Raw genomic sequence first — 11,957 nt, 5'->3', positions numbered from 1 at the left:
ACGTACACAGGGTATTACTATATATTTAAATACTTGCCAATTTTATATGAAAAATGTTACCTAGGATTTTGATTTGCGCTTCTATTTGAGGTAGGAAAAGAAAGTGTTTTCCTACTCTTACACACTTAACATATTCAATACTCAACACAGAACACTTCACCTCTGGTTACCAAAATGTGCGTGGAGATTCTCCCCATCACCAAGCAATTCTCCAGTGGACACCAACCAGGTGTCCTATAACTTAATTTAATTCGGACTCGATCTACCTGGAGGTAGCATCAGATCCCTTGGGTTTTCAGGGCTCAGTCCCTCAACACAATCCTCGCTTCAGATGCCAATTGCAAGCCACAGTTGTGACCTCTGCTTCTGACCAATCAGCTCTACACTGGGGCTCCCACAATCTCTGCCTCAAGTTCAATTAATTTGCTAGAGTGGCTCATAGAACTCAGCAAAACACTACTTATCTTTACCTATTTATTTTAAAGGATGTTACAAATAATACCAATAAGCAACCAGATGGAAGAGCCATATAGAGCGAGGTAGGAGGGTAGGGCTCCACGCTTCCATGCCCTGTCTGGTCATGCCACCCTCCCAGCATTTCCATATATGTTTAGCATCAGACATCTGGAAGCTCATCAAATCTTGCTGTTGAAGAATTTTTATAGAGCTTGATCTCCAGCCTCCTTACTCCCTTCCCAGAGATCAGTAGGTGGGGCTGAAAGTTCCAACTTACTGACCATTTGGCCTTTCTGGCAGCCAGTTCCATCCTGAGGCTATCTAGGGATCCCATCCTAAGTCACCTCATTAGCATAAACTCAGGTATTATCAAAGGGACTCATTACAAATAACAAAAGACACAAATAAGGTGTCTTAGTGCACGTGGACTGCCATAACAAAATACTATAGACTGAGTGGGTTAAAAAACTGACATTTTCTTCCTCATAGTTCAGGGTGCTGAGAAGTCCAAAATCAAGGTGTTGGCCTTTTTTTTTTTTTTTTTTTTTTGTTTTTTTGAGTCGGGATTTCACTCTGTTGCCCAGGCTGGAATGCAGTGACATGATCATGGCTCACTGAAGCATCGACTTCCTGGGCTCAGGTGATCTTCCCACCTCAGTCTCCTGAGTAGCTGGGACTACAGGTGTGCGCCATCACACCAGCTAATTTTTTTTGTATTTTTTGTAGATGCTGGGTTTTGCCATGTTGCCCAGGCTGGTCTCAAACTCCTGGGCTCAAGCAACCTGCTCGCCTCAGCCTCCCAAAATTCTGAGATTATAAGTGTGAGTGAACATGCTTGGCATGTTGGCCTATTTGGCTCCTGGTAATGGCTCCCTTCATGGCTTACAGACAGGCACCTTCTAGCTATGTCCTTACATGGCCTTTCCTCAGTGCACGTGTACAGAGACAGAGGGAGAAGAAGCAAGCTCTGTGTCGTCTCTTCTTTTGAGGACACTAATCCCATCACAAGGTTTAGACAAGATCCCATCCTCATGACCTCATCTAAATCTAATTACTTCCCATAGGCCCTACCTTCAAATATCATCACATTGAGGATTACAGTTTCAATATGTATGAATTTAGGGGGTGGAATAGGGAGATACAATTCAGTTCATAACATAAGGTTAAATAATTTTTTTATATTTTAAACTGTATTTTTTATTTTGAAATTAGCTGTTCAGATCTTTGCCCTTTTTTCAATTTTTTGAATTTTTTTAATATTCCATTTTAAGACTCCCTTTTCTAGTAGGAATATTAATTTTTGCCACGTATATTGGATTTTTTTTGCACAGGGTTTGTAATTTGCATCTTATTTTCATTTATTTCTTAATTTTTAAAACTTAGATCTCTACCATCCTTTTTCTTTAATTTTTATATCAATTTTATGCTGAGTTCAGTCATCATTGATGAAAACTAAATAGGCTCCTATATATACATATTTGTTTCTCCCAGGAAAATTATGATGTTCTTAAAAACTACTTTATCTCTTTAATCCATCTGAATTTATATATTATAAAACTTTATGAGGCTGGGTGCAGTGGCTCACACCTATAATCCAAACACTTTCGGAGGCCCAGGGTGGATCACCTGAGGTCAGGAGTTTGAGACCAGCCTTGCCAACATGGTGAAACTCCATCTCTCCTAAAAATACAAAAATTAGCCTGGCGTGGTAGCACGCACCTGTAATCCCAGCTACTCAGGAGGCTGAGGCAGGAGAATTGCTTGAACCCAGGAGGCGGAGGGTTGCAGTGAGCCAAAATCGTGCCATTACACTCCAGGCTGGGCAAGAAGAGTGAGACTCCATCTCAAGAAACAACAACAACAAACAAACAAACAAACAAAAATGTATGCATCTGTAATACGTATTTAACCCGTTAACTGCTAACAATTATGAGTTATGCTCATAGTAACTTGGAAATGAGAAAACTCTTCCACCTCAATGGTTGTCTTACATAATCTACCAATTGTGTGGTTGTGTTTTCTTCTTTTAATGTATTACAAACAAAACATGAATGAACAAGTAAAAGTCAAAAGCAAATAATTAAAATTTTTATTAACAAAAGACTTTCCCCTAAAATACTAGTTTCAGGATACATAGTTTGATATTGATATTTTAATGGATTTATTCTACAGGTAAACAATTTCAAAAGCAAAGCATTAGAATATTTTTCAACCTCATTGGCACCATGCTGGTTTTCTATACTGTATTTTCCTTCCTTCATTGTCTACTCTGCTCCAGCAGTTTTAGCAGATATATGTGGATCATCAGGCTCACTGCCTTTCCATTGACATTAATAGTCCTTACAGATGTGATATGATTGCTAAAGCTTTTCTGTAAACTGGTACAAATGTTCTGTATATTCTATATAACACAGACCTAGATTTAAAATATTCACCCAGCAAAAGTGACTTCAAAAAGAGATTGCATTCTGCCTTAGTGCAATCAGGAAGAGGAAATTCACAGTTAAAGATCAAACTGGCAAAACTCAAACACAATAGGACACTGAGCAGAAAGCATTAAGGTGGCACCCCATTGGGAGTAGGTACAGGAGGCTTTGAGCCCTGACAGTAAACTTGTGTTGACTTTGCTCAGAACCTGCATTTTTATTTCATGAATGTTCTGATGTGAATTTTCTTTCTCATTTTACCCTATTTAAATTAATAGGAATCCTTGCTGTGCTGTGCCAGAGGCCTATTGTATATCTAGTTCAGTGGAGCTAAACCTGTGATTTTTTAAATTTATTTTATTTTTAATTTATAATGCTTGAAGTTGTTACTGTTTATTAGTCTTTTTCATGGTTTTTAAGACTTCTGTGAAAACCTACTTGGAGAATTATCATTTTAAGAGGAGAATGACTTATCTCCCCTAATCACAGGGTTTCCTGGAGATTTTGAGTTGTCCCACTAGATGTGTAACTTGGATCTAATTTTTCCACACTTGAATTTGTTGTAACCTGACCACTAACTATTCCCCAGCAGGAAGGTTGACTTACTCCACTTAACCAGCCACTGTTGTCTCAACACACTGTAGGCTTATGTGTTGATCATTCGATGGCTTGACTACCTTGCCTTATCTTCCTCCTTCCCATGAGTCTGATGTCTGACTTCAGCATCTCTCATCAACCTGGTTTCCTTCATTCATCAAGCTCTGTCTATTGCTTGGGCTCACCTTCCCTTCTTTTGCTAAAGAAAGTCGAGTCATAAATGCTGACCCCTCTAATTTGATCATGTGTTTAGTGGCCTGCCTTAACTCAGCATTTAATCCATTTTACCTGCCTAATAACTTAAGAAATGACTCCCAACTGAGAACATCAGATTCCTAGGATCTTCAAAGGTAGTGGTAAGAGTACTCCTGGTATTTAAAAAATAGTTAGCAATCTAATGAAAATCATAAATTTCAATGTGGTACTTGCGAATCCAAAGTCTAATTATTTTCTCTTTTATTCGTAAAAATAGAAGATATAAATGATTGTTTAATGTAATTTGGTATAGAAAATACCATATAGTGAGTTGAGAAGACAAATATTAAAAAAATCCTTTACTATCTTTTGAAAATGTTTGTATCAACTAATCTTCAGAATCACTAATGGCGCATACTAGTTTTATCCCATAATTCAAACCCAGATCGAATGAAGTCTTGTATATTGCCTATGGTACATTCTCTCTTTTTTTTCCCCTAGCTTTTAAGAAATTTAGTTTTAAGGCCTCTTTACTTTTTCGAAGTAGTTACATATACTTTGGGAACATGCATATTTGTCCCTTTGATGACTGCTGGCCTATAAATAACTCTTAAGTTACACGTATGTATATTTATGACTCAGGGTCAAGAGCATCCTGAAAAGTTATGAAAGTTAGAGAAGCAAATAGAGTCAGTCTGTCCAGGGCTTTAACAGGTGAAGGCCAGGTAAGGAGAACTAGGCTTGACTGGGAATTTATTCAAGGAATAAACGAATGATCAAGCAAACATTGGCAAGATATATAAGAAGTAGGCCAAAGTTCTGATGAAAAGAGCATTTTTTCCAGCAAAAATGGGAGATTGTGTATCTATGTCTGCTCTTTTTCAGATTTTGTTTGCTGTGGGAGGCAATAGGTAATTGGCCAATGCAAAAGTCATTATATAGCATGTTATAGATATTATTTCTATTTTTGGTTTTGTCTGTCTTATTTTATTCATGAAATGCTCTTTTATTAGTGCCACATGTCCCCTTTAAAAACTTGACACTTCTGTTAGCAGAAAACCACCACTGATCTTTAAATATTTTCCCTTTTAACACCCACAGTGCGCCTTCACCCTGAAATGCTCAAGGGAGTCCACATTCCCTTATTATGAACTGTATGTTTCACCATGCTGCCTGGGTTGGAGATACATGTGAAAGAGGAGACTTATAAAAAGATAATTAGAGATATAGGTTTAGCTATCAACTCTGAAAGCTGAGGCATTGATAGAGTCAAAGGGTTTGGCAGCGGCATTTTTCCTAAAGTGGAGGCAAGCAGAGACCAAAAATGACCTTACATAGACTTTGTCCCTCCTGGGAAATGTGTGCAGCCCAATTGCTGGTTTCTGTTTCCGTTTGCCCAAAGACTGAGATTTGAGATTTTCTCACTGTAATAAGGCTTCTTTCTCCATCCTGGCATAAATGGCAGCCATCCTGAGATCTTCAACAATGACTGAAATATTTGGGTGCATCAGGGACAACTGAAGAGGAGTTATTGGGTAATGTTATTGAGAACACAGGAGTAAAGGCATTAACTCAATTAAGTCATCTTTATTGTTGCTTGAGATTGTGAGTTCTGTGTGTGCATGTGCTTCTCTGTGTGTATGCGTGGATGTGCATGTCTGGGTGTTTGTATCTTAGTAGCTAGTATGAGTGAGAACAAAAGGCAACGACTTTTGTAATCAACAAATGGATGTGTCACTTGAGAGCCATAAGAGCTTCTGGCACCTCGCAGTAGGTTTGAGAGATCTGTCAGCCCAAAGGCTGACTCACTGTTTGTAAGCATTAAGTTAGATAAATGCATAAAGTCTAAATCTGGACAAAGTCAAAATTCTCAAAACTGAATGTTCTGATATTGGGAAATGATTTGTGGCAGGAAAAAAAATGTGAACTGTTATCACCAAATCCTGATAAAGCAGACCACAGTACGATCGATTATAAGGTAGAACTTGCCAAAGTGAATTAACTGGTCCAGAGTTTGCAAATAACTGTTCAGAATACACATATATTTTTAGCAACCTGAAAATCCAAGGAACTAACCTATGAGCCAGAGAAAATGTTGAAAACCTGTAGACATTGAGATTGCATAAAGAATAGCTTCCACAACTAATTTCAAACAAGTCAGACTTAAGAGTTTCACCTCTTTATGAGATTTCCTGATGATTCTCCCATGTTCCAGATTTGCATTAATAGTCTCAATGCCATTTTCACCTGGGTGGAGATTTGCTAATGTTGTTAACACAACACACATCAATGCCACTCACCATTTTCACCCCAGTTTGGCTCCTCCTCCTGACTTTTTGCTGATGGCTTCCAATATTCTTTTTTAGTCACAGAAGCTCAAGACCTCTGAGTGCTCTTTGATTTGTCTCTCTCCTTTCCCCTATTACCAGTGATTCATCAGGGGCTGTCAATTCCTTCTCCCTACTGTCTCACACCACCCTTTCTTCTTGTACATTACCCTAGCCCTAGTTAACAGTCTTATTACTGCTTACCTAAACTACTGCTATAACTCTTCTCCCTGCCTCCAGTCTTGCTTCTAATCTACTCATTCTGCATTCGGCTGCCAAATTAATCTTCCTAAAGTACAGCTTTGATTATGTCACCCCTGCTCAATAACCTTCAAATCCCTCTTCTTTGCCTACCAAATAAAGTTCAAACTTTCTAGCTTTCGACAACATGATCTAGGCTTATTTTTACGGGTTTAGCATTAATGTTTTTCTCTTTTTGAAACTCTAACCAAACTGAGCAATTCCACATTCTGCAATCAACCCCAGAAACTTCCTTCTACAGGGTTTTAATATTTTTTTCCACATGGTATGATTTTAATGTTATCTGTTACGATTCTCCTCAGCTCTTCAATGGTAGTTTTTTCTTTTACTGAAGGAGCTTGGACACACAGGCCTGGAGTGTCCACACGAGTGCATGTGAGGACCCTTATGTTATGATTAGGAATAAGAGGTGGGAAAATAAAGGGAGAGGATGGAGCAGTAGGGGCAGAGCCAGGGGTAAGGAAGTCTGAAAAGTCTGAGAATTTTAATTTTTATTTGCTCTTTGAGGTCATTGTAAAATTAGGCTCATTATAGTAGGATGATAGTACATACTTGGTATAATAGTTTGTTAGTCTAATTTCTAAATATAAAGACATGTGACATGCAGGCCTCCAGCTATACTCTTGCTTTGTGCCTCACAAATGTTAGGAGCAGGCCTGCTTTTTATCTATGAAACGCAAGGCTTGAACACATTGCCTGTCATCTGGTAGATCTTTATTATTTGTTGACTATGGGATGTAGTGTGCTTTCCTTTCTTTGAAATTCCAGAAAATGTTTCATCTTTCCTGTGATGCTGATTACAGTCCTTAATAATTTCTTGCATTTTGTATGATTTGGCATCTACATGGTAATATCTGTGAAAGAAATTTGTGCAATGCTATACATCCTACATTGTTTGAAGAGTAATAGAGGTTAAAAAATTGTTTACTGGATAAATAATAGAAACCTATGGCTTGTCTTAGAAGACATACATAGGCTGATCAGATTTGAGGGCTCCGAGATAGTTTAGACCCTAACAAACTGATTCTAGAATAGTTAAATGACTTATCCAGGGCTCGTGACTTTTAGTTAGCAACTGTGGGCCTTGTATTTAAGCATTCTGATGCCCTGCTCTCCACGTGCAAGCTCTGTTAGCGCATTATGTTAAACATTAATCAGGAAATGTCATTAAGAAAGACATGACATTCATCCTAAGTATCTATAGCAGTATTCCCTTGTACTAATACTGCAGTCAATTTGATAAATAAACTCAGATAAAGATGCTAACTTTGTAAGGACTGAACATTTATAGAGGAGCCTAGTTTATTCAAATCCACAATTGATACACATTGAAAATGTAGCCAAGTGTACACAGTGTTGACAACAGTTTATCCAGAAGACAGAGGGATTATGTTGTAGCAGTTGTCTTCATAAAGATTTAGTACTAATATAATTTAGAACACCCAACCCCAATATATGTTTGTACAGGGCATTACTGTGAACAAATATTGTCAGATTATAACTAATTTCTACAGCAACATGGCACTTGAAAAGGGTTTACAATCCTAAAATCTGTTTAAGCATATAAAACACAAAGCATTTGTCCTTGGAGACATATCTATAGCTATACCTTTTTTTCCCATGTATTGCAATATACCTATCTAATGGGTGGAGATGGAGAAGCATAATATTTGAAATTATAATGGTCCAGAAGAGGAATCTCAATACTGGTCCTGTAACACTTGCTAAGTCGATTATTTAGTAAAAGAAAAAGCAGAGTTGTATTGCATTGTTTCAAGCTGTTACCTAGAGAAAATCAGATTACAGTGTTTGGCAATGCATGCATATTATTTATGATAAGAAAATATCAGGTGACAGAAAGTTGTTCGTTAGAGGATATGATGTGGCAATCACTTCCAAGAGGAATATTTTCTTCTCACATGTTAATACTTGTGAAAGCACTTAGCCTAGGACTTGAATATATAAACTAAGTTCTATCACTTTACTTGTAGTGCCGTTGTTCAGATATCCTTTCTTGTTGATAATATTCATACTTAAAGGAACAGAGATGGAGGTAGACATGCTTCTAAAACATGTGAATAACACTAGAAAGCTAGATATCTAGATATCTCACCTGATTCAACACATTAAAGTTATTTTTATCGAGAATGAGATTATAAGATCTGTTCATCTTGAAAAAAATAATACCTTAGCTTTTTGTTGTTATTAATTTTGACTGGATAATGCCAAAGTACAAAAGACAACAATGAAATTTTTTTTAAAAAAGTGAATCATATAAGGGAGTGTTCACATTTATAATTTCAGTCACACAGGTTCTAGAATAAAGTGTCCCTAGATTGTACTTAAGTATGAGCATTTTGAACCTGTAGAACAAAATGCATCCATTCTACAGTTATTTCCATCCTAGCGTAGCACTTCTGCAGCCTTGAAACAAGCCTTGAAACAAGGCTACAGGAGTGCTACGCTAGGATGGAAATAACTGTAGAACGGATGCATTTCCAGGGCGTGTTTACAGCACACCTTGCAGAGACTGTGGCCCAGGGAAATGGAGCAGCGCTCTTTAGGGATTTGCGGGAGCATTGCCACATACCCCTCTCCTCCCTCCGGCAGCAACCCTGTTTCCAGCTAGGTGACTGCTATCCTGAGGTTTCTTAGCTCAGCTTGCCATTTCAGGTGTCAGACTGCACGCCTGCTGGGAAGCGGTTACGTGAGCCTCAGGAGGCTCCTGTGCAAATCCGGGGAACTACTAATTGTGTCTCTTGCCATCTAACTTAGACACCTGCTTCCTTTTCACTTGACTGATCTCCACCTATGCCTCGAGACTAATGGCCTGTGTGATCTCATCTTTTTCTGTTACCTTCCAGGATTGCAATTAAATTATATCCTGGTATGCTATTTGCCATCGAGAAGAATTTAATATCAATGGTGGACCTCACTGCTAAATATTCAGATATCAGGGTATAAAAAGGCTTTTTCGTAAGGCAGAACTAAAAAAATTTCAAGTTCAGATGAAACAGCACAGTTCATCTTAATGTCTCAAAGTCCTGCTCAATTAAATATTATTTGCTGAAAATATTAAGTAATGAATAATGAAATTATATATACAATAATTTCATATACAATATGACACAACATAAAGAAAAATTTTAAAAGGTGATAAATGCCAACATGGATGCATACTTATAACTGTGCTATTGGTAGCCTCTGTTTGAATATTTTCTCTTCTACTGATTTTAAAGTGTGACTTTATGCAAGTTACTTAACATCTTTGTTTCTTACATCCTTATTTGTAAAACTGTCAATAATAATGGTACTTATTCCATAGGGTTGTTATGAGGCTTAAATGAGTTAACTTATTTAAAATACTTAGAAAATTGTCTGGCACATAAAAAGTGTCGAATAACCATTTTTTTGAAAATGTTATTTTTGTTCTACTTTCTCCAATTACTTTTCCTAATAATCTTTTTGTTTCAATTATATTTTGATTATATTTAATTTTACAATGAAGTATTATAAATGGTTTGTGAGTAATGTTTTTCTAAACAATATTTTAAGGAGCTAAATAATTTCTAGTTGAACGTAGGTATTGTAACTTATTTAACCATTTTCTGATTGCTGGATAGCTAGATTGTCTCCTGTCCCATGTTGCAATATATAATGAATCAATATACCTCTTTGTCGATAAAAATCGTTTTATACTTGAATTAATCTAGAAATATAATTCCCATGTTTAAGGGTAAGAATATTTTCAGATTTTATGTAATTAATGTATTTATTTATTAACTTATTCAAGTCAAACAGTATCCAGCTTTATTAAAGATACTTTCCATAAACAGTCATGATATTTCAGGCAGGACATGGGCAAACAATCCTTAATAGTATACAACTTTTAAACTTCCTTCTTCAACGGACTACCAAAAATCAGAAAGCCACTATAAAACCCAATGAAGTCTCCATTTGATGCTCTGAACAGGGAAAATTTAGAGTGAGGGTTGACATTTCACATTTAGCATGTTGTTTACAACTTTTCACAAGTCGACGCTGACTTTTAGGAAGTGAAATAAAAATGGCAGAATTCATGTGAAGATCCACAATCTAGAAACAGAACCACTGATTTTTGAGGGGCACCATCTCAGTGGCAGCACCAGAAAGTCCAGATTGCCTGGCACCCTGGTAATCAATTATTGGAGGTCGGGTCCCAACAGGTGTCTGGGTTTAAATGAGTTAAGTCTTTGCTGAAGGTGGAAAGGGAGAAGAGGACATGAAAAGAATTTGTTTTTCCATACCACAAGGCATTTGTGCCAAGGTGGCTGCGTGTGGTCAAAGTCAAGTAGAAGGGAATCCCTTCTCCTGGGAGCCAAGAAAAGTCTCTCAGAGCTAGAGGGGAAAGGGATTTTCCCCATATTAATCCAGCTTCAGAAACATTCTATTAGTGACATTTGCCCCTCCCCCAAAAAACAGTAAAGTGTTGTGTGTGCTAACATAGTGTATTAGTCAGTTCTCACACCGCTTTGAAGAAATACTCCAGACTGGAAAATTTATAAAGGAAAGAGATTTAACTGACTCACAGTTCCACATGGCTGGGGAGGCCTCAGGAAACTTACAATCATGGCAGAAGGCACAGCAGAAGCAGGCACCTTCTTCACAGGGTGGCAGGACGGATTGAGTGCAAGCAGGGGAAATTCCAGACCCTTATAAAACCATTAGCCCTCCTGAGACTCACTTACTATTAGGAGAACAGCATGGAAGAAACCGTCCCCATGATCCAATTACCTCTACCTGGTCCTGCCCTTGACACGTAGGGATTATGGGGACTACGATTCAAGATGAGATTTTGGATAGGGACACGGCAAAACCACATCACAAAGCTTAACAGAAAAGTAAACAAAATTCTGTGTTTTAATAAAACTTGATAAAAAATAGTATTTCAAACTGTACAGTCATCAGAAGCACACAGTTACCAAAAATGCACACACTTCATGTGGCATCTCCAGCACCTTCAGCTTTCCGTGCCTGGTCTGCGTTAGCATCTCCATGTTCTGCAGGGTTATCTCCCTTCTTGCCAGTGTCAGCTTTTCCCTTTTTCCCTTTAGGTGGCTCCTCTCCGTTCTTTGCAAGAGCCTTTTTAGGCTTGGGCTCTGGCTTTGGAGGAGCAGGTTTAGCAGACAGCTTTGTGATTCCTCTGTGGTTCTTCCTTCACCTTGGCTTTAATCTCCCTTCAGCATCCCTTTCAGCCTTTTTCTTGGCCATGGTGGCAATGGTGGTGGGACGTACAGATTAGACGTGGGATGCAGCTGCACAGTGGGCTTTGGTTGGTCTGGGGGTTGTTCTCACCTCTTCTTCTTCCTGCTGCTCCTATTCATTTATTTTTAATATTTCATGATTATTATTTTTAGGCTAGTCAAGTGAAGTGGGGCAGTGAAGAGGGATTTTTAAAAAATGTTTCATTTTCTAAAATGTAGTGGCACTTTTTATTGCCACTCACTATATCTGATCATACAAATTTAGATGAGACCTCAATAACACAATGTGATTATGGTTCAATTTATTTATTTTATTAGAAAATAGGGAAAATTTATTTTATAAATATCTACCCGTGCTGAATGTCCTCTGTTCCAAAGAATGGGGCCTGGTCAAGAAGGAAGTACATGAAATGTCTAATTAAAACTTAAGCACATTAAGGTTAAATACTGAA

General features: G+C 37.7%; 1 pseudogene; it reads right to left on the bottom strand.

Annotated features, from left to right (window-relative positions):
- HMGN2P39 (high mobility group nucleosomal binding domain 2 pseudogene 39) lies at window positions 11,134–11,637 on the bottom strand (annotated as a pseudogene).

Source organism: Homo sapiens, chromosome 13, assembly GCF_000001405.40.
Source record: "Homo sapiens chromosome 13, GRCh38.p14 Primary Assembly".
Classification (NCBI taxonomy): Eukaryota; Metazoa; Chordata; class Mammalia; order Primates; family Hominidae; genus Homo; species Homo sapiens.
Note: the sequence above shows the minus strand (reverse complement) of the source record. Positions and strands in the feature narration are given on the sequence as shown.